Source organism: Homo sapiens, chromosome 19 (genome assembly GCF_000001405.40).
Source record: "Homo sapiens chromosome 19, GRCh38.p14 Primary Assembly".
NCBI lineage: Eukaryota > Metazoa > Chordata > Mammalia > Primates > Hominidae > Homo > Homo sapiens.
The window spans coordinates 43,412,270-43,435,070 of record NC_000019.10 but is presented as its reverse complement, the minus strand read 5'-3'; the positions used below and the strand labels follow the sequence as shown (position 1 = coordinate 43,435,070).

At 45.6% G+C, this 22,801-nt stretch overlaps 1 protein-coding gene across 3 annotated transcripts in view, besides 1 other annotated feature; it reads right to left on the bottom strand.

The window, feature by feature from the left end:
• Positions 1-16,473: 16,473 nt before the first annotated feature.
• Positions 16,474-22,801, bottom strand: part of TEX101 (testis expressed 101) — a 29,987-nt gene continuing 23,659 nt past the window's right edge. Inside the window, exons 1-6 of one of the 3 annotated variants that reach the window (NM_001130011.3) lie at positions 20,033-20,181; positions 19,088-19,190; positions 18,829-18,972; positions 18,516-18,698; positions 17,065-17,193; positions 16,474-16,903 (exon numbers count right to left, since the gene is read on the bottom strand). In NM_001130011.3, the coding sequence (NP_001123483.1) occupies positions 16,674-16,903; positions 17,065-17,193; positions 18,516-18,698; positions 18,829-18,972; positions 19,088-19,151 (750 nt within the window). In that variant the 5' untranslated portion in view covers positions 19,152-19,190; positions 20,033-20,181 and the 3' untranslated portion in view covers positions 16,474-16,673. Of the gene's footprint in view, positions 16,904-17,064; positions 17,194-18,515; positions 18,699-18,828; positions 18,973-19,087; positions 19,191-20,032; positions 20,182-22,801 lie in introns of those variants that run through there. The other 2 variants (XM_005259303.4, NM_031451.5) reach the window with 2 other exon arrangements.
• Positions 21,794-21,980: a silencer, noted in NCBI's record as "fragment chr19:43917243-43917429 (GRCh37/hg19 assembly coordinates)". NCBI's record gives its function as "represses an EF-1alpha promoter that drives an FKBP-Casp9 reporter gene in an ReSE screen in HepG2 liver carcinoma cells {active_cell/tissue: HepG2}" and the evidence as "EXISTENCE:reporter gene assay evidence [ECO:0000049][PMID:32094911]".

The window sequence follows — 22,801 nt, the reverse complement described above, 5'->3', positions numbered from 1 at the left end:
TTTGCTGGCTGCATCCCAGTTGAATCATTTATCATCCTTCTCCACTACGTGTTTCTCAAAAGGGAGACCATGATAATTTTTAAAAAATTAGCTTTATTGGCTGGGTGTGGTGGCTCATGCTTGTAATCCCAGCACTTTGGGAGGCCGAGGCGGGTGAATCACCTGAGCTCAGGAGTTCAAGACCAGCCTGGCCAACATGGCGAAACCCCATTTCTACTAAAAATACAAAAATTAGCCGGGTGTGGTGGCAGGCACCTATAATCCCAGCTACTCGGGAGGCTGAGGCAGGAGAGTCAAGTGAACCCAGGAGGCAGAGGTTGCAGTGAGCCAAGATCATGACACTGCACTCCAGCCTGGGTGACGAGAGTGAAACTCTGTCTCAAAAAAAAAAAATAGCTTTATTGAGGTGTAATTGATATGCAAAAGCTGCACATATTTGAGGTATACAGCGATGAGCTTTGATGTATGTATTCACCTGTGAAACCATCACCACAACCAGGGTAATGGTGAGAAATCAGCTCTCTCCTTCATTGTGGTGGGAGTGTAAATTGGTACAACTTTAATGGAGACAAATTTGACATCTCTTCATGTAACCAGCACAAACCCTCTTTGGTTCACCAATCCCACTATCCCACTATTCCACTTCTCACACTTGTGGCAAATGATACGTTTATAAGGGTGTATGTTGCAGCATTGTCTGAAATATAAAATGATTAGAAAAATCTCAGTGTCCAATACCAGGGTATAGTAAAACAGTCATGTAACACTCATGGAATACATGGCCACTGTTCTCAGTGCTCTACAAATAATCATTCATTTAATTTTCACAATAACTGGATGAGGTAGGTGCTATAATTAGGCTTTTTTTTTTTTTTTTTTTTTTTTTTTTGAGATAGAGTCTTGCTCTGTCACCCAGGCTGGAGTGCAATGATGTGATCTCGGCTCACTGCAACCTCCACATCCCAGGTTCAAGTGATTCTCCTGCCTCAGCCTCCTGAGTAGCTGGGATTACGGGTGCGCATCACCATGCCTGGCTAATTTTTGTATTTTTAGTAGAGATGAGGTTTCACCATGTTGGTCATGCTGGTCTCGAACTCCCGACCTCATGATCTGCCCACCTTGGTCTCCCAAAGTGCTGGGATTACAGGCATCAGCCTCTGTGCCCAGCTGGCTCATTTTAAAGATGGGGAAGCTGGGGCACAGAGAGGTTAAGTAGCTTGTCTAAGACCACACAGCCAGCCAAGGCTGCACTCACACCCAGGCAGTCTGTCTAGGGAGCCTGCGGTCTTTTCTGCTGTGTTGCAGTAGTCCAATTATGATTGTGCCATTGATGCAGCAATAATTAGTGGCTGGCTAATTATTTTATTTTTTGTAGAGACGAGGTCTCACTTTGTTGCACAGGCTGGTTTTGAACTCCTGGGTTCAAGCAATTCTCCCACCTTGGCCTCCCAAAGTGCTGGGATTATAGGCGTTGAGTCACTGTGCCTGCCTTTATGAGAATTATCCATGTTGTTGCATGGCATTCATTCTCATTGATGTATATAGCATTCCACTGTGATTTATTTATTCATTCTAACTGTTGAGGGCATTTGGGTTGCTGCCGATCTCTGGCAATTACAAATAGTGCTGCTAGGAACATTCCTGTACAGGTCATTTGGAGAACATATGTATGCATTTCTGTTGGGTATGTAGGCCAGGACCTGAAGGGCAAGGTCATAAGGTATGCATATGTTTATGCTAAATACTGACAGTTTTCCGCAATGGTTGTATATTTGAATCATGAGATTGTATTTCTCTTTCTATTTTTTTGTAGAGACGGGGTCTCACTATGTTGCCCAGACTGGTCTTGAACTCCTGGACTCAAGTGAGTCTCCCACCTCGACCTCCCAAAGTGCTGGGATTACAGGGGTGAGCCACCTGGCCCAGCCAGCAGTGACATTTCTGAATAGGCGAGGTCATGTGCGGCTGGGTTTTCCAGAGGATTTGGCTGTAGAGAGCTGAGGTGGGGAGAGCCCCCTTGTGGCTGGAGAGGGAATGTGAGCACCTGGGGCCCTGTTCTCCCCACCCCAGTGTATTCTCCACCAGGCTGGTCCTGCATTCTGATCCTTTGCGTATCTTGAAAGTACTGATACACTAGTTGTTGATTCTATTCTGTTTTATTTCAAACTTTAAAAATTTAACGTTTAAAATGGAGATAACTTACAGCATAAAACTGAAGTATAAAGCTCAATGAATTTATGTACATATCTTTGTAACCACCACCTAGGTCAGGATATAGAGCATTCCCGTCATATTAGAAGGTTCCTTTGTGCATTCTCCCACCCAATAGCGTGCAGAGGTGACCATTTTCTCATTTCTGTCACCACAAGTTAGGTTTGCCTGTTCCTAATGCTTATATAAAATGCATATACAATTATGTCTAGCTTCTTTCTTTTCTTTTGGTGTCCAGCTTTCTTTCTTTCTTTCTTTCTTTCTTTCTTTCTTTCTTTCTTTCTTTCTTTCTTTCTTTCTTTCTTTCTTTCTTTTTCTTTCTTTCTTTCTTTCTGTCTCTCTCTCTCTTTCTTTCTCTTTCTCTTTCCTTTCTTTTTTTTTTTTTTTTGATGGAGCCTTACTCTGTCGCCCAGGCTGGAATGCAGTGGTGCGATCTTGGCTCACTGCAACCTCCACCTCCTGGGTTCAAGCAATTCTCCTGCCTCAGCCTTCCAAGTAGCTGGGACTACAGGTGCACACCACCATGCCCAGCAATTTTTTTTGTATTTTTAGTAGAAAGGGGGTTTCACCATATTGGTCAGGCTAGTCTAGAACTTCTGACCTCAGGTGATCCATCTGCCTTGGCCTCCCAAAATGCTGGGATTACAGACGTGAGCCACCACACCCGGCTTAGCTTCTTTGCTTTTCTTTTCATTTCTTTTTATTTTTTATTTTTTTGAGACGGAGTTTCACTCTGTCACCCAGGTTGGAGTGCAGTGGCGCGATCTCAGCTCAATGCAACCTCCGCCTCCTGGGTTCAAGTGATTCTCCTGCCTCAGCCTCCCAAGTAACTGGGACTACAGGCATGCACTACCACGCCCGGCAATTTTTTTTTTTACAGAATCTCACTCTGCCGCCAGGCTGGAGTGCAGTAGCGCGATCTCAGCTCACTGCAACCTCTGCCTCCCGGGTTCATGAGATTCTCCTGCCTCACCCTCCCGAGTAGCTGGGACTACAGGCACGCGCTGCCACGCCCAGCTAATTTTTGTATTTTTAGTAGAGGCGGGGCTTCACCATGTTGGCCAGGGTGGTCTTGATCTCCTGACCTCGTTATCCGCCTGCCTCGGCCTCCCAAAGTGCTGGGACTGCAGGTGTGAGCCACTGCGCCCAGCCCTGTCTGGCTAATTTTTGCATTTTTAGTAGAGACGGGTTTCACCATGTTGGCCAGGGTGGTTTTGAACTCCTGACCTCAAGTAATCCACCCACCTTGGCCTCCCAAAGTGCTGAGATTACAGGCGTGAGCCATTGCATCTGGCGGTGTCTAGCTTCTTCTTCTTTTTTTTTTCTTTTGAGACGGAGTTTTGCTCTTGTTGCCCAGGCTGGAGTGCAATGGCGCGACCTTGGCTTACCGCAAACTCCGCCTCCCAGGTTCAAGTGATTCTCCTGCCTCAGCCTCCCAAGTAACTGGGATTACAGGCATGCGCCACCACACCTGGCTAATTTTGTATTTTTAGTAGAGATGGGTTTCTCCATGTTGATCAGGCTGGTCTCGAACTCCCAACCTCACGTGATCCATCCGCCTTGGCCTCCTGAAGTGCTGGGATTATAGGCGTGAGCCACTGCGTCTGGCAGTGTCTAGCTTCTTTCACTCAATATTATGTCATGATATTTGACCATGCTGTTGCATGTTGGTCCATGTGCTGTTATTTTTTAAAATTGCTGTGTGGCATTCCATTTTATGACTATACCACGTTTATTTATTCAAATGTATTGTTGATGGACATTTGGGCTCTTTCTGATTTTCGGCTACTATGAATAGAGTTGCTAGAAGCAGTCGTGTACGTAGACATGCAATCATTTTTCTTGGGTATATTCCCAGATGTGGATTGCTGGGCCATAGGAGATACATATGTTTAGCCTTAGGAGGTACCAGGAAACATTTTTTCCATTTTCATTCCATGGTGTAGTTTTTGTTTTTTTGTTTTGTTTTTTGAGACAGGGTCTCATTCTGTCACCCAGGCTGGAGTGCACTGGTGTGATCTCAACTCACTGCAACTTCTGCCTCCCGAGCTCAAGCAATTCTCATGCGTCAGCCTCCTGAGTATCTGTGATTATGGGTGCCTGCCACCACGCCCAGCTAATTTTTGTATTTTTAGTAGAGATGGGATTTTGCCATGTTGCCTAGACTGGTCTCGAACTCCTGAGCTCAGGTGATCCACCCGCCTTGGCCTCCCAAAGTCCTGAGATTACAGGCGTGAGTCATCATGCCCAGCCAATTCTGGTCTTCTAAAGAAAGTCATTTGCCTATAAGCCCATCTACACAGGAGGCTGAGGCAGGAGAATCACTTGGAGGCAGAGGTTGCAGTGAGCCGAGATCGTGCCTCTGCACTCCAGGCTGGGTGACAGAGTGAGACTGTCTGAAAGAAAAAAAAAAAGAGAAAGAAAGTCTTTTGTCTTGAGACATGCCCAGAAAGTGAAACACTGCATTCAAAGTTTGTTTTGAACAAAGTTTCTATTTCCTTCTTTTGTTTATAAAGTTGACAGGCAACTTATTGTTGTCTTAGTTTGCATTTCCTGGATTTCTAGGGATGGAAATTGAATGTCTTTTCCTTCTAGCACACTAGATCATTTACAGGTAATGCCTTTGTCTAAAGGTCATTGTCCACCGGGGGGCACTGCCCCACAGGAACCCTTCACAGAATTCTGCTGTAGGGTGCATCTTTCACAGAGACCATGCTGGCTTTGAGGGTGTCTGGGGCTGTGCACTTCTGTATCAGGGCCCCATCTCTCTTCCCTTAGGATAATTTTTATTTTTATTTAATTAATTTTTATTTCTTTTTTTTGAGACAGAGTCTCGCTCTGTCACCCAGGCTGGAGTGCAGTGGCGCGATCTCGGCTCACTGCAACCTCTGCCTCCTGGGTTCAAGCGATTCTCCTGCCTCAGTTGCCCAAGTAGCTGGGATTACAGGCGCCTGCCACAATGCCTGGCTAATTTTTTGTATTTTTAGTAGAGACAGGGTTTCTCCATGTTGGCCAGGCTGGTCTCAAACTCTTGACCTCAAGTCATCCTCATGCCTCAGCCTCCCAAACTGCTGGGATTACAGGAGTGAGCCTCCGCTCCTGGCCATGGGCTTTGGTTTTTACTCCGAGTGAGGTGGAGAGTCATTGTAGGGTTTTGATAGAGAGCGAGTTTATTTTTTATTTCTTCATTTCTTTATTATTTTGTTTTTGAGACAGGGTCTTGCTGTGTTGCCCAGGCTGGAGTGCAGTGGCGCAATCATAGCTCAGTGCAGTCTTGAACTCCTGGTCTCAGGCGATTCTTCCGCCTCAGCCACCTGAGTAGCTGGGACTACAAGTGTGCACCACCATGCCTGGCTAAGAGACAGGGTTTAGGCTTACTTTAAAAAAGGATCACTGTGGCTGCTAAGTCGAGAAGAGAATGGGATTGTGGGAAGGGAAAGGTCAAAGCATAGAGACTCTTGGCTGTTGCAATAATCAAGGTGAGAAATGGTGGCAGCTTGGACTGGAGAAGAAGCAGCGGAGGTTATGAGACATGGTCAGATTCTAGAGGTATTTTAAAGGCAGAATCAACAGGATATGCTAAAGGATTGGATATGGGATAGGAGAGGGAGATCAAGAATAACTCCAATGTTGTGGTCTGAGTAGCACACATAAAACTCATTTATTATGGACTGTTTCAGAAATATATCTAAGTAGATAAAAAGCTTTTTTTTTTTTGAGAAGGAGTTTCACTCTCATTGCCCAGGCTGGATTGCAGTGGCGTGATCTTGACTCACTGCAACCTCTGCCTCCCGAGCCCAAGCGATTCTCCTGCCTCAGCCTCTGGAGTAGCTGGGATTACAGGCGCCTGCCACCAGGCCTGGCTAATTTTTTTGTAATTTTTTAAATTAGAAACTGGGTTTCACCATGTAGGTCAGACTTGTCTCAAACTCCTGACCTCAGGCAATCCACCCACCTCGGCCTCCTAAAGTGCTGGGATTACAGGCGTGAGCCACGACGTCTGGCCAGACAAAAGTCTTATAGTGAACCCCATGTAGCTGTCAACCAGCTTCAATAATGATTGCCTCGAAATGATGACCAGTTTCACTTCATCTATGCCTCTCCCTACTCTCTATTCCATATTGTATTGAAGTAAATCTCAGACATTATTTCATTTTATTTGTAAATCCTTCTCTGTGTGTGTGTGTGTGTCTGTGTGTGTATTGTGTGTGTGTGTAGAGATTTTATATATATATATATATATGTATATTCTTTTTTTTTTTGAGATGGAATCTCACTCTGTTGCCCAAACTGGAGTGCAATGGTGCCATCTTGGCTCACTGCAACCTCCACCTCTCAAGTTCAAGCGATTCTCCTGCCTCAGCCTTCTGAGTAGCTGGGATTATAGGCACCCATCACCACACCTGGCTAAGTTTTGTATTTTTAGTAGAGACGGGGTTTCACCATGTTTGTCAGGCTGGTCTTGAATTCCTGACCTCAAGTGATTCGCCTGCCTTGGCCTCCGAAAATGCTGGGAACACAGATGTGAGCCACCATGCCCAGCCATTCTGTATATATAGTTTTAAAAAGATAAGCCTCCCCCAACCTTTTTTTTTTTTTTTTGAGATGCAGTCTTGCTCTGTTCCCCAGGCTGGAGTGCAATGGTGCAATCTCAGCTCACTATAACCTCTGCCTCCCGGGTTCAAGCAATTCTACTGCCTCAGCTTCCTGAGTAGCTGGGATTTCAGGCATGCGTCACCACGCCTGGCTAATTTTTGTATTTTTAGTGGAGATGGGGTTTCGCCATGTTGGCCAGGCTGGTCTTGAACTCCTGACCTCAAGTGATCCACCGGCCTCGGCCTCCCAAAGTGCTGGGATTACAGGCATGAGCCACTGGATCCGCTGAGCCTCTCCCTTTTAAAAAATAAATATGCCACATTCTGTGACGATAAAGTTACAAGAAAATAAAAAAATTAAAATAAACATGTCATGAAATCAGCGTATCTATTAATGGTTGACTTTCTTGCAAAGACTACCAGAGAAACCCATTGATCACGCAAAGTAAGAGTTTATAAGGCCAATTGCAGCAAGGGAGAACAAAGTTCGGTGGTGTCTCAACAGTGTCACAAAGGGGAAAATGATGTAAGGGTATTTGAGGTAATTCTTTAAAGCAAGGAACTGACTAAAATTGGGCAAAGGGCTGGGTGCGGTGGCTCACGCCTGTAATCCCAGCACTTTGGGAGGCTGAGGCAGGCGGGTCACCTGAGGTCAGGAAAGAACCTAGGAGGCGGAGGTTGCAGTGAGCCGAGATCATGCCACTGCACTCCAGCCTGGGCGACAGAGCGAGACACTATCTCAAAATAAAATAAAATAAAATAAAATAAAATAAAATAAAATAAAATAAAGTAAAATAAAATAAAATAAAATAAAATTGGATAAAAAGTATGAGACGATAGTTTAGAATTGGTGAACACAACAGAATGGAGGTCTTGAGAGAAGTCTTGAGAAGCAAACTATTGTCTGATAAGTGAGCTTTTTGCCCAGTTGAGCCATGTGTTGAGAGGAGAGCTATATGCCCAGGTGAGCAAATTGTTTGCCTAGATAAATTTTTTTTTTTTTTTATTTTCCTGAAGCAAACAATGAGTTCTTTATTGTTTTACAGTCTTATCCTTCCAGGCAAGGCTTTTTTGAAAGTCAAACAAACAGGTAAGTCATGTTGAAATACATGATCTCAGTTCTCATATCTAATAGAATTTAAGATACCTACCTCATTAAATAATCAATGAATGCATTTTCTTAGCTGTATCAGAAAAGTATTATTTTATATCTGATTATTCAAGCCAGGATCCAAGCAAGGTCCACAAATTGCATTTGATTTTGTGTGTTTAAGTTCCTCTTAAACTATAGCTTCCCTTACTTTTTTTTCTTCTTCTCTCAAATTTATGTTTTGACAAAGTTAGGTCATTGTCTTGCAGCTTCCATAATCTGGATTTTGCTAGTTCCATCCCCACAGGCATTTAACATGCTCTTTTCTCCTCTAAGTTCCTTTCAATTTGGTAGTTAGAACTGATGCACGCTGAGTGCAGTGGCTCACACCTGTAATCCCAGAAATTTGGGAGGCCCAGGTGGGAGGATCGCTTAAGCCCAGAAGTTTGAGCACAGCCTGAGTAACATGGTGAGACTCTGTTTCTACGAAATTAAAAAAAAAATTAGCCAGCTCTGGTGGTGCGTGCCTGGAGGCCCAGCTACCCAGGAGCCTGAGATGGGAGGATCACTTGAGCCCAGAAAGTAGAGGCTACAGTGAGCTGCGTTTGTGCCGCTGCACTCCAGCCTGGGTGACAGAGCAAGACCCTGTCTCAAAACAAAACAAAACAAAAACAAACAACAACAGCAACAAAAACAAAACAAAAAAACTGATGCAGGATGGACAGGCCCCCAACATGATGCTTAGGCTGGGAGGGTTCTTGGCTTTGACCGGGAAAGAATTCAAGGGCGAGCCCCGGGTATTAGGCAGTAATCTTTTATTGAATGGTACTGCTCCTTGCTGAGCAGGGATAACTCATTGGCAGTGTGCCCAGAGTTGGCAACCTGTGAACCCTTGGCAACTACATTTATATTCTCTTATAGCCACTTCAATTACATGCAAATTAAGGTGTGGATTAATGCAAATTAAGGAGTGAGTTATTTAACAAGTTTCCAGGAAAAGGGCAGCAACTTCCAGATCATTGCCATAGAAATGGGTGGTAACTTCTGGGTCGTTGCTATGGCGTTTATAAACTGTCATGGTGCTGGGGGCAGTGTCTTGAGCTAATGAGCAATGAGGGCAGCTAGGGTCACTTTTGCTGTCATCTGCTGGTTTTGTCCAGTTTCTTCACTTTATCCTGTCTGGACTAAATCCTGTTTTAGTCAGCAGCGTTGTGACCAGAAAACAAGTCTTGTCGATCTCCTAAACTACTGATCTAAGCTATTCAGCTTTTAAAAACGTGGCAAACAGCAATTTAGTGGGTCTCCCACTGCCAATTTTGTCTTCCTCCAGACTATTCTCAACATAGCAGCTAGAGGGCTCCTTAGACAAGAGAAGTCAAAACATCGTATCACACCCTGACATAAACTAACTTTTTCTTCTTTCTTTTCTTTTCCTTTTCTCTTCTCTTCTCTTTCTTTTCCCCTCCCTCCCTCTGCACTGCCCCCTCCCTCTCTCCCTTCCTTCTTTCCTTCCTTCCTTCCTCCCTTCCTCCCTTCCTTTCTCTCTCTCTCCCCTCCCTCAATCTCTCTGTCTTTCTTTATTTTTTAAACAGAGTCTCACTCTGTCACCCAGGCAGAGTGCAGTGGTGGGATCAAAGCTTACTTCAGCCTCAACCTCCCAGGCTCAAGCAGTCCTCCTGCCTCAGCCTCCTCAGCAGCTGGGACCAAAGGTGCATGCCATCATGCCCAGCTAATTTTTAAAAATTTTTTGTAGAAATGAGGATCTTGCTATGTTGCCTAGGCTGGTCTCAAACTCCTGGACACAAGCTATCCTCCCACTCTGGCCTCCCAGAGTGCTAGGATTGATTACAGGCATGAGCCACCACACCTAGCCTGATCTAAACTCTCTAACAACTTCCAAATTCACCTGGCATAAAAGCCAGAGTCAGTGCAGTTGCCTATGAGCTCCCTGAGATCTGTATTCCCGTTACCTCTGACCACATCTCCTAAGATGCTCTTCCTCATTTCCTCTGCTCCAGTCACCCTGGCCTAGTTGCTGTTTCTTGGGATCTCATGCAGGTGCCCACCCATAATATATGCATTCCAGTTTTTCTATATCCCTGCCAACACCTGTATACTGGAAACAGCACAACAATGCTGAAGGAAATTTCACACTGTGAAATAATACTGTGTCTTCTTCCCCATTCATAGCATATATCTTTTCATTTATTTCAGCACTGTTGTGAAATAAATGAAAAGATATATGGTATGAATGGGGAAGAAGACACAGTATTATTAATGTCGCTGGAAAAAGGGGTCTTGATCCAGACTCCAAGAGAGGATTTTTGGATCTTATGCAAGAAAGAATTCAAGGTGAGTCACAGAGTGCGGTGGCAACAGAGTTGCTCATTAGTTACACAGTAGGGTTGCCTCAGAAAGCAAGAGAAAGAATGCGCTGTCTTTTTAAAAATTATTATTATTATTTTTTGAGACAGAGTTTCACTCTTGTTGCCCAGGCTGGAGTGCAATGGCGCGATCTCGGCTTACCACAAACTCTGCCTCCCAGATTCAAGCGATTCTCCTGCCTCAGCCTCTCGAGTAGCTGGGATTATAGGCATGCGCCACCACGCCCGGCTGATTTTGTATTTTTAGTAGAGACCGGGTTTCTCCATGTTGGTCAGGCTGGTCTTGAACTTCTGACCTCACGTGGTCTGCCCGCCTCAGTCTCCTAAAGTGCTGGGATTACAGGCGTGAGCCACCGCACCCGGCCGCATTGTCCTTTTTTAAAAACTCTTCTTATACAGGGGTCTTATCTATATAAAAGCTAAGCTAAGTTATGTCTATGTGTGAGTGGGCTGACAGCATGACAAAATTTATTATTTTGCTGATTTAAGGAAAGTTATCTGCCAGGTGCAGTGGACCATGCTTGTAATCCCAGCACTTTGGGAGGCCAAGGTGGGAGGATCGCTTGAGCCCAGGAGTTTGAGACCAGCCTGGGCAACACGGTGCGGTCCTGTCTCTACAAAAAAAATACAAAAATTAGTGAGGTGTGGTGGCTCTCGCCTGTAGTCCCAGCTACTGGAGGGTGGGGGTGGGAGGTGGGAGGATTGCTTGAGCCGGGGAGGCAGAAGTTGCAGTGAACTGAGATCATGTCACTGCGCTCCAGCCTGGGTGACAGAGCGAGACCCCATCTCCAAAAATAATAAATAAATAAATAAATAAATAAATAAATAAAAGTTATTCTTGGCATTTTAGTGCATAAGTACACCAAAGCATGACTCTGTCTTGAAAGTATATATTGTTATGTGATATTGGGACATCTGGACATTCTTCTGTCACAGGAGTTTGTCCTTGCAGGCATTAATAAACTGCTTCTTTAGCTGTAAACATCTTATGACCGTGGGTTGTGATTGGCAAAGAGCGTACCTTGCTAGTTTTACGACAGGGTTGATTTTAAAATGGTGTCACCCTGGCTCTCCTATGCTCCTGTTTCCTTAACGTTAAGATGTCAATTCTCCTCAAACAATCCCAATCAAAATCCTTGCAGGATTTTTGTAGTAATTGACAAGATGATTCTAAAATTCATTTGGAAATGCAAACGACTTAGAATAGCAGTGACAACAACAACAACAAACAAACAAGCAATAACAAACTTGGCTAATGTATAATATATAATACTAAAAGCATATTTCATAAAGTTGATAAATTGGACTTCATTAAATTAAAAACCCATGCTCTGCTGGGTGCGGTGGCTCATGCCTATAATCCCAGCACTTTGGGAGGCCAAGGCAGGTGGATTGCCTGAGCTCAGGAGTTCGAGACCAGCCTGGACAACACAGTGAAACCCCATCTCTACTAAAATACAAAAAATTAGCCTGGTATGGCAGTGTAAGCCTGTAGTCCCAGCTACTCAGGAGGCAGAGGGAGGAGAACTGCTTGAACCCGGGAGGTGAGGGTTGCAGTGAGCCGAGATCGCGCCACTGCACTCCAGCCTGGGCGACAGAGCTAGACTCCGTCTCAAAAACAAACAAACAAACAAAAAAAACCGTGCTCTGTGAAAGACACTAAGAGAAGAAAAGGACAAGGCAGAGTAGAAGAAAATATTTTAAAATGATATACCTGTTAAGGAATTTGCATTTGTAATATGCAAATATGAAACATACTCAAAACTCAATAATAAAATAAACATCACGATAAAAAAGAGCCATCCATTTGAAGAGGCATTTTATGTTATTTAGATCTGTGCTGTACAATACAGTAGCCACTATATCATATAGTAGCCACATGTGGATACTGAATGCTTGAAATGTAACAAGTCCAAATTAAGATGTATCATGATTGTGAAATACACACCACATTTTGAAGACTTAGTATAAAAAAGAATGTAAGATAGCTCATTAAAATTTGTATTGATTACATGTTTAATGGTAATATTTTGGATATACCATTCAGTTAAATAAAATACATCTCTATTGCTATGATTTTGCCATTTCAAGAATATTATATACATGGATTCATATAGTACATATATGACCTTTGAGATGGACTTTTTTCCACTCAGCATAATGCCATTGAGATCCAGCCAAGTTTCTGTGTGTATAAATAGTTTGTTTCTTTCTATTGTGGAGTTTAACATTCACCTACTGTAAGACATTTTGGTTGTTTTCATTTTGGGCTATTACAAATAAAGCTGCTAAGAACAAGCACATACATGATTTTGTGTTGACTTAAGTTTCCATTTCTTGTGGATGAACGCTCAGCAGTATGACTGCTGGGTAGATGGTAAGTGTGTGTTTAGTTTTTAAATAAATGGCCAAACTATTTTCCAGAGTGGGTGCACCATTTCACATTCTTACAGCAATATATGAGAGATCTAGTTTCTCAATTCCTCTCCAGAATTTGGCATTGTCACTCCTTCCTTTTCTTTCTCTTTCTTTCCTCTCTTTTCTTTTCTTTCTTTCTTTCTCTTTCTTTCTTTCCTTCCTTCCTTCCTTCCTTCCTTTCTTTCTCTCTTTCTTTTTCTTCCTTTCTTCCTTTTTCTTTCTCTCTGTCTCTGAGACAGGGTCATGCTCTATCATCTAGGGAGGAGGAGTGCAGTGGCGTGACCTCAGCAAACTGTCCACCTCCCTGGGTCAAGCCATCCTCTTGTCTCAGCCTCCCAAATAGCTGTGACTATGTACAGGCACACACTACCATGCCCAGTTAATTTTTGTATTTTTTGTAGAGACGGGGTTTCACTATGTTGCCCAGGCTGGTCTCAAACTCCTGAGCTCAAGTAATCCACTCGCCTTGGCCTCCCAAAGTGCTGGCACTATAGGTGTGGGCCACTGCACCTGGCCCTCAGTTAAAATTTGATTTTCGTGTGCTTCTTCTTCCTCTTTAGGGAGATTTAGCAAACTGACACAATGGGGACTGGCTACCTAAGGACAAAGATAAGGAATTAGCTAGAGTAGCGCTTAAACTGCAGGAGAGTGGTATAAATAAAAAAAAAATGATTGAGGTGAGTCTTAATTATTTTAGTTTCTTTTGCTAAGGTTTAGGACATGCCCAGGAAAAAGAAACACAAAACCACAGGAACATCTGTGATCTGTGCTTTTTCCAAAGAGGATTTGGGAACTTCAATTTTTTTTTTTTTTTTTTTTTTTTGAGAGAAAGTTTCACTTTTGTTGCCAGGCTGGAGTGCAGTGGCATGATCTCGGCTCACTGCAACCTCTGCCTCCCAGGTTCAAGCAGTTCTCCTGCCTCAGCCTCCCGAGTAGCTGGGATTACAGGCATCCGCCACCATGCCTAGCTAATTTTTTATATTTTTAGTAGAGACGGGGTTTCACCATGTTGGCCAGGCTGGTCTTGAACTCCGACCTCAGGTGATCCACCTGCCTCGACCTCCCAAAGTGCTGGGATTACAAGCATGAGCCACCACACCCGGCCTGGGGACTTCAATATTTAAAGTGGGGAAAGGAGTGGGCAATAGGAGAAAGAGGAAAGAAAAAAAGGAGGAGAGTAAATAAAAAGGGAAAGTGGTTGCATTCTTTTGAGGCTTTGATCAGCTTTCAGTGAATCTACATTTTACATGTGAAAGGAGAGGGTAGAGGAATAGTCAACTATGCAATCATCTTGCCCTCAGTGAATTTGCATTTTTTTTTTTGAGACGGAGTTTTGCTCTTGTCACCCAGGCTGGAGTGCGATGGCCGGATCTCAGCTCACTGCAATCTCTGCCTTCTGGGTTCAAGTGATTCTCCACCTCAGCCTCCTGAATAGCTGGGATTACAGGCATCTGCCACCACACCTGGTAAATTTTTGTATTTTTAGTAGAGATGGGGTTTTACCATGTTGGCCAGGCTGGTCTCAAACTCCTGAGCTCGTGATCTGCCCGCCTTGGCCTCCCAAAGTGTTGGGATTACAGGGGTGAGCCACCGTGTCTGGCCAGATTTGCATTTTTACATAAAATAAACTAAACATCTAGTAGAGGAAAGAGTGAAATAGGCATTTGTCTCAGGTGAGCAGAGGGATGACTTCTGGTCCTGTCTTGTCCAGTACCTGTGAAGATAAACTGTTAATTACATTGCCAGGGTGAAACTCAAGCAGAACTGTTTTAGGGTAAAGATCTTGGGGCCCACAAGGAATTTCCTTGTGGCCAAATTGTGAGCAAGGCCTGCTGGGGAGGTGTGTAGACTTCTAAATCTTTGCAGCTACATATTTAGGAACAAAATAAGGGGCAGTTTGGTGTGACTCCATTCCCAAGCCTGACTTTTCCCTTTAGCATAGTGAGTTTGGTATCCCAAGATTTTTTTTTTCCCTTTCTCAGTGGGTAGAACCAGAGAACTTTCTAGAAAGAACTTGGTTGGAATATATATACTATGGCCAAACTCCCCAGTCTTTTGAGAGGGGAACAAGTGTTTGTAATAAAAGTCTCTCCTTCCACCTCTGGTGCCGTTTACTGTGTGTCAGATAAGTCTTAGTAAAGCTGTTTTTTTTTTTTTTTTTAGAAGAAAATATCTGTCTCCCTTTTACCCTCCCCACCTTTTACTTTGCTCTATACACCTCTGATATCATTTGAGTCTTTTACAATAAGATAGAGCTTATGTATTTTTGAGTAATAATAAGCATGAGAATTTTCCAAAAATCTTTGCCGCCCAAGTAGTCACAGGTCCCCATTCACCATACTGTAATGAATCCTTCCTCCCTCCCTCCCAAGTCCACTGAAGAGTCATTAAGTCAGCCCCAGGGAAGGGAAGGAATGATGTAGAGCAGGCAAGGGATAGACAGGACACAGAGAAATGGGGCCCACTGTAATGAGAGAATTTGCCTTTTGTTTTGATAGAGGATCTCACTCTGTCATCCAGTCTGAAGTACAGAGGCATGATCATGGCTCACTGCAGCCTCAACCTCCTGAGCTCAAGTGCAGACAAAAAATAAAATTATAAGCCACTCCCCGCCCCCAACCATCTGAAGGGTCCCCTCCTCTCAGCCAGGGCTTTCCAAAGTTAACCTGAAAAACTGGTTCAGGCCATGCTGTGGGAAGGGAGAGTCGGCCATGCCTCAATATACCCGCCTCCCTTTTGGATTTTGGGAAAAGCTGACCAGCATGAACATCAACACAGACCTTAAGTCTGATAAACATTTACAATGTATTCTCTCTGAAGCCTGCGACATGGTGGCTTCATTTGTGTAATAAAACTTTGGTTTCCACAATCCCTTATCATCGTAACCCAGACATTCCTTTCTACTGATTCCAGGTCTTTAGATAATAACTCTTTTAACCAATGGCCAATCAGAAAATTTTTGAATCTACCTATAACCTGGAAGTTTCCTCCACTTGGAGTTGTCCTGCCTTTCTGGACTGAAACAATGTACATCTTACATGTATTTGATTGCCTCATGTCTTCCTAAACGGTATAAAACTAGGCTGTGCCCCGACCACCTTAGGCACGTTTTCAGGGTCTCCTGAGGGCTGTGTCACACACCACGGTCACTCACATTTGGTTCAGAATAAATCTTTTCAAATATTTTACAGAGTTTGACTCTTTTTGTGGACATAAGTGATCATCCCACTTCAGCCTCCCAAGTAGCTGGGACTACAGGCGAGCGCCACCATGCCAGGCTAATTTTTGGATTATTTTTTTTTGTAGAGATGTAGTCTCATTAGGTTGCCCAGGCTGGTCTCAAACTCCTTGGCTCATGCAATCCTCCCACCTCTGCCTCTCAAAGTGCTGGGATTACAGGTATAAGCCACTACAGCAGGCCCATAACTGGAGAATTTGGAGTCTGATTTTTCTCATTTGGCCATACTTCCTAGGGAAATTTTAGAACCCCAAAACAGCAGCCTTAAGATTGGGCTGGGAGTGTTCTGGAGGAGGCTAATGCTAGTTACTTCTGCTAGCAAGGAGAGCTAGCATATTAGAGTGAAAGGAAAATCAGACTTTACGTCAAAATATGTAAGTTCTTGCCTTGGCTCTGGCCATAGCTAAATGTAAGAAACTCACTGAAATTTTCCAGATCTCAGATTCTCTTTCTGGAGAATGTGTGGTTTGGAGAAGATGAATTTTAAAGGCTCTTTCAGCACTAAAATTCCACTTCTAGTGTTGAAACATACACAAATCACAGCAGAAATGTTTATTAGTAACGCCTACTGCATACAAAAATTATAGCAGAAATTGTATTAAAAATGTCAAATACGTTCATAGTATCTCTGTATTCTCCCTCAAATTCCCATCTACTCCTCAGCTTGTTGAACCTCAACAGTAAGAAGGCTCCCAGTCAAAAAAGATGTCCTCAGACCCAGGCCCAGAAGTGCCTTCTTAGGAAAAGTGAATAAATGATGGCAGCAGCAATGGCAGCAGTAGCTGTAACCCCCAAACAGGAATGGGAAGACAGGTGGCCCCATTTTCAGTCTTTCGAGGTTGAGTGAGCAGCTGATGTGGGCACGCTTCCCTCACAAACATGGGTCCTACTGCTAAGATTCCAGACATCAGCCTGCAGCCAATCATGGCTGTACAGCCTTTGACCTCCACAGACGACTCAATGCCACCTATAGAACAAGGAAGGATCGGGAGAGACAGAGATGTTTTAGGACATCAGAGGAGAATCCAGTCCCCCCTCATCCCTGGAGAGCTCAGTGTCAGAATCTCTGGGGAGCCACTCAAATGGTTTTCCAGCCTCTGAAACTATCAGATGTTCATTTCAGTTTACCTCCAGTGATCTCAAGTTTTCCTTGATAGCATCGAGTTGTACCATTGGGACAGGGAAGAGAAGGAGCACTGAAACAGGTCCCCAAAGCCACACAGGTTGGACAATGGAGGGTTGTTGACACAGTGGAAGCTGGAGGGAAATGAGAGAGACAGTTAAGGGCAGGTCCTGCCTCCAGAGATGTTGCTCCTTGCTGCCTTCTCTTCCCCAAGATTTTCCTGCAGATGCCACTCTAATCAAGGCCCATTACTTCAGCCTCCCCATCCTTCCCCAGCTGGTGTTCTCTGCTGTGAAATCTCCATCGATCTGACTTCCAAACTCTGCTGAGGTGTGAAGATACAGAGATGAAAAGGACATAGTTCCTGTCACCTGGCATCTCTGCCTAGGAGAAAGACATGTAAGTAATCAATTCAGTAGCTGCTGTGTTCAAGGTATAATGACAAAGGAATGGAGGAATACCCAACTACCTAAAAGAATTTGGCAAATATTTTCAAAGAGCTGATACCTGAATTGACATGGAGGATGAACAGGGGTTAGCTATGTGAAAATGGGGTGGGGAGGGTAGTAAAGGAAACAGCAAGGACAAAGGTCAGGTGGTGTGAGCCAGCTTGGTGGATTCAGGGAATTGTGAGAAGTTGCACGACTCATATTCAGCTTGTAGGCCCAGCTGTTTCTTTGATCTGTTTTTTTTGTTTTTGTTTTTGTTTTTTATGGCCAGAATCCATTTTGATTGGCCAGTGCCATCTACATTGTTAAGCATTTTGAGTATTAGCCCCAGTTAGCACACAGTAAATGAGAGAGGGAAGAGAGGGAAATGAAGCTGAAAAGACAGGAAGGGCCAAGTTACTACAGGCCTTGTAAATTGGGGAACTGGGCCGTTCTCGTGCAGCAGTGGGAAACCAATACTTGTTAGACTGATAATACCACCCTGTTCGGAAACCTACACTGATGTCTTATTGCTTTTTTTTTTTTTTTTTTTGATGGAGTCTTGCTCTCTGTCCCAGGCTGAAGTGCAGTGGTGTGATATTGGCTCACTGCAACCTCTGCCTCCTGGGTTCAAGCAATTCTCCTGCCTCAGCTTCCCGAGTATCTGGGATTACAGGTGTGCGCCACCAGGCTAAGCTAATTTTTGTATTTTTAGTAGAGACAGGTTTTCACCATGTTGGCCAAGCTGGTCCCAAACCCCTGACCTCAGGCGATCCACCTCACCCAGCCTGTCTTATTGCTTAATAAACACAAAACCCAGTTTACACTCCAGGCTTCACTGGTATCTCGCTGCTCTGAGCAGTGTTTAGATCCCAATGAACAATTCAGAAACATAAAATTACTTGAACTGTGAGGTACTTTGGGGTATGGACCACTTAGGCTAAGCCAAGTCAGAATGCAAAGGGAGGCCATACACAAGCTCTTTATGGAGTTTCTCTTAGTACCTATCTCCCCCACTTCCAGGGTACCTGTGGTCTCACTGAACTCCCAAAACTGAGACAGGCTGTCTTTGTCATTACAGAAGGAATCCTCACAGTAGTTACTGTAGGAGGTCACGATCAGGCCGGGAGGTGAAGAGTGCTGGACAATTGTTATGGCCTCCTCCCCTTCCGGGATGCAGCCCTTCGTGGCCAAAATGGCTGTCTCAGTCCCTGTTATGAGACAGGAAGGAGGGGAAATGGATGGTGGCCGTCACAATTGGCCTGGACGAAGGGAACAAGCATTGGCATGGAGATAATCAACCTCCCTCCTACCCAGCCCAAATGCCCCATCTCATTTCACCTGCTTTAATTATTAGTATGGTTTCCTGGCAAAGTGCCCCTTTGTCACAAGTCTCCACTTCCTCTGTGGTCCAGTTAAACATATTGGCTGGATCTGCTTCCACAGTCATGGACAGACCCTTTTGACAATACAGCTCTAGGCCCGCTGAGGAGAAAACAAGAAAAGGATAAGCACTTCTCCATGGGCCAAGGCGGCTCCCTTTTCATCATCAGTCCACCTTCTGTGACACACGGCTCTCCCCTATGTCCCCCATACGCACAGGTCAGGAGGGAGGCTCCTAGGACCAGGAGGATCAGCAAATGCTGGATACGAGGGGTTCCCATGGCTTCTTCTGGAGAGGTCTGGGAGGAGCTGGTCTGGATCTGTGAATTTGATGGAGAGAAGGCAATTAACTTTTCAGCCAGAGTGCATGAGATCAAATCTAGGTCCTGGCAAGTACTGACTTCAGGGTGGGGTGTTTTAATCTGCATTTTTTTTTTTTTTGAGACGGAGTCTTGCACTGTCGCCCAGGCTGGAGTGCAGTGGCGCAATCTCGGCTCACTGCCTCTGCCTATCAGGTTCAAGCAATTCTCCTGCCTCAGCCTCCCGAGTAGCCGGGATTACAGGTGCCCGCCACCACACCCAGTGAATTTTTTGTATTTTTAGTAGAGATGACGTTTCACCATGTTGGTCAGGCTGGTCTCGAACTCCTGATCTCAGGTGATCTGCCCGCCTCGTCCCCCCATAGTGCTGGGATTCCAGGAGTGAGCCCTGATGCCCGGCCTCACAGTGGGGTTTATGGTGTATATGACCACGACTTCTAAAGTCGTTCTGTCCCTAACCGGCTTGTGAGCTGGAGCGAGTTCACAGGTTTATCACGCCCCAGTTTTTCATGGTTTTAATTCTCAGGCCCGGCCACCCAGTGCCCTCCAACTTCAGGATCAGGAGTGTGGCCCTGAAGGCCGCTTCTCCCTCAGTCTCAGGGGTCCCTTACATTCTCTCAGGGACCCAGAATCTCGGCCCCCAGCCCCAGCCCCAGCCTCATCAGAACCCGGGATTCTGAGAGCCCAGCCCCGTCCTATGTAGGGATCGAGGAGTCTGGGTTCCAACCACCTTTTCCTGCGGGACACACCATTCTGGTCCCCTCCCTCTCAGGCCCGGGAGCCCAGGCCCCCAACCCTCGTTCCCCTCAGAGCCAGGATCTGGGTCCCCAGCCTTCTCTTTCCTCAGAATCCAGGAATCTGAGTCCCTAGCCTTCTTTTTCTCTTTAAAGAAGCAAAATTGCTGCCGGCTTCCAGGCAGACGCCTCACAAGAATCTCACGACGCCAAAGTTGAGGCCCGGAACGCCTTCTCCCCGGGCTTGGCATTCTCTTACGACGCAAGGCCGGGCCAGCCTGGCCACACAGCACTCGAAACCCCATTGGTGGATGCAAAAGCATCGGATAAGTTCATTGGATGAGCCTGGAGGAACGCGGCACCTCATTGGCCACAGAGAAGTCAATTCCTGGCAATCTCGGAGGGTGCGCATGCTCGGAAGGTGAGTGGCGGGCAAACCGGCCGGAAGATCCTGCCTGTTTTTGCAGCCAGAGGCACGCAATGGAGGGTGGGCAGTGCGTTGCCAGATGGCCTCGCCTGGCCCATTTCTCTTTTTGCACTCTGTTGTCTCTGCTTCTCCAGCCACACTAGGAGGTCAGACCCTTGGCCCTCACTCACGGAACTTATCTCCCTACCCAAATGGCCTCTCATGTTCCCAGCCTGGCCCCTGCCTCGGCACCCACCTTAGTGGCCCTAGCCTCTGGGAGTCAGCTTGGCCTCTTGAGTCTTCACTTGCAGTGGCCCCTGTGCAGCCCAGGCGTCTTCATCTGATTGCGCTATCGCACCAGCCTCCTCATGGTCTCCTGGAGGGTTGAATCTAGGAATGCCCCCCTCAGCATCACTTTGGGCACCCCGAATGCATGCATGAGCAGTAGCTATGATGGCACAGGCTGCTGTCAGATCGAACCCACGCGTCCGTGTCAGGACCATGAAGAAGACATGTCACTCGGATTTGTTGCTCATGGCTGGCAGTTCACTTTCACATCTATGTAACCTTCCCTTCCCTCCCCTCCCCTCCCTTCCCCTCCCCTTCCCTTCCCTTTTTGACAGACTTTTGCTCTTTTTGCCCAGGCTGGAGTGCAATGGCACAATCTTGGCTCCCTGCAACCTCCTCCTCCTGGGTTCAAGTGATTCTCCTACCACAGCCTCCCAGGTAGCTGGGATTACAGGCATAAGCTACCATGCCTGGCTAATTTTTTGTATTTTTTTTTTGGAGACAGAGCCTCTCTCTATCCCCCAGGCTGGAGTGCAGTGACGTGATCTCAGCTCACTGCAACCTCCCTCTCCCAGGTTCAAGCGATTCTCATGCCTCAGTCTCCCCTGAGCAGCTAGGATTACAGGCACCTGCCACCACACCTGGCTAATTTTTGTATTTTTAGTAGAGACGGGGTTTCGCCGTGTTGACCAGGCTGGTCTTGAACTCCTAACCTCAGGTGATCTGCCCACCTCGGCCTCCCAGAGTACTGGGATTACAGACGTGAGCCACCACCCCTGGCCTATGTAAGCTTTCCAGGTGTGACATGAAGTTGTAGCAGGATGAGCTGCAGACAAAACTCCTCAGATACTGGATTAAAGAAGGAAGAGGTTTATTTGGCCGGGAGCCTCAGCAGACTTGCGTCTTAAGAGCCGAGCTCCCTGAAAAATAAATTCTTGGCCTTTTTTTTTTTTTTTGGAGTCTCCCTCTGTTGCCCAGGCTGGAGTGCAGTGGTGCAATCTCGGCTCACTGCAAGCTCTGCCTCCCGACTTCATGCCATTCTCCTGCCTCCGCCTCCCGAGTAGCTGGGACTACAGTCACCCACCACCACACCCGGCTAATTTTTTTGTATTTTTAGTAGAGATGGGGTTTCACTGTGTTAGCCAGGATGGTCTCGATCTCCTGACCTCGTGATCCGCCCGCCCCCCAAAGTGCTGGGATTACAGGCATGAGCCACCACGCCTGGCCAATTCTTGGCCTTTTTAAAGGCTTACAACTTCGAGGGGTCCACATGAAAGGGTCGTGATAAATCGAGCAAGCGTGGGAAACGTGACTGGGGGCTACATGCATCAGGTAACAGAACAGAAAGTTTTGCAATGCTTTTTCATATAATGTCTGGAACTTACAGATAACACAAGTAGTTTAGGTCAGGGGTTGCTGTTATTATTATTACTTTTTTTAACTCCTAGGGCTGGGTGGTGGTGCCAAGGTTGACTGGCTATTTATCTTACTTCTGTTTCTTTCCAACTTTTTGCTTTCTCTCTTTCCTCCTGTCTTGTGAACTAGGCAAGGTCGGGGGAGGAGGGCAGCAGGAGTAGTAGTGGTCTCCTTCCTTAAAGTAAGGCAACGCTTTGTATACTTTCAGAATTGGTACTGATTCTGTAAGTTATAGTATAAATGAGTATTTATTTTTAATAGAGAAAATGCCACAATAAGAAAGGGATTGGTAAAGCTTCAATCCCTTTGTTATCTTTGAACTGTTATCTTTGAATGATCACATGTCAAAGGATCCAGGAAGAATGTGTGCCAGTTTTCAGCCCCCGTCTGTCCCCCGAGGGCTCGTGCTTGGGAAAGCAGTCACCTTGTTGAGTCACTCTCCAGGTGACTTGGTCGCAGAATCCCTCCATCTCACACCTAGAAGAGACCTTGGAAGCCTAAGCACCCTCCACCTCTATTCTTCACCCCATTTCTGCTTCAACAGCTCCAGGGACCTCCTCTTGCTCCGTGACATAGTTTGGATATTTGTCCCCCGCCCAAATCTCATGTTGAAATGTAATTCCCAGTGTTGGAGATGCGACCTGGTGGAAGGTGTTTGGGTTATGGGGGCAGATCCTTCATGACTTGGTGCTGTCCTTGCAATGATGAGTGAGTCCTTGCCAGATCTGGTTGTTTAAGTGTGTGGCACCTCCCCTTCTTACTCTCTC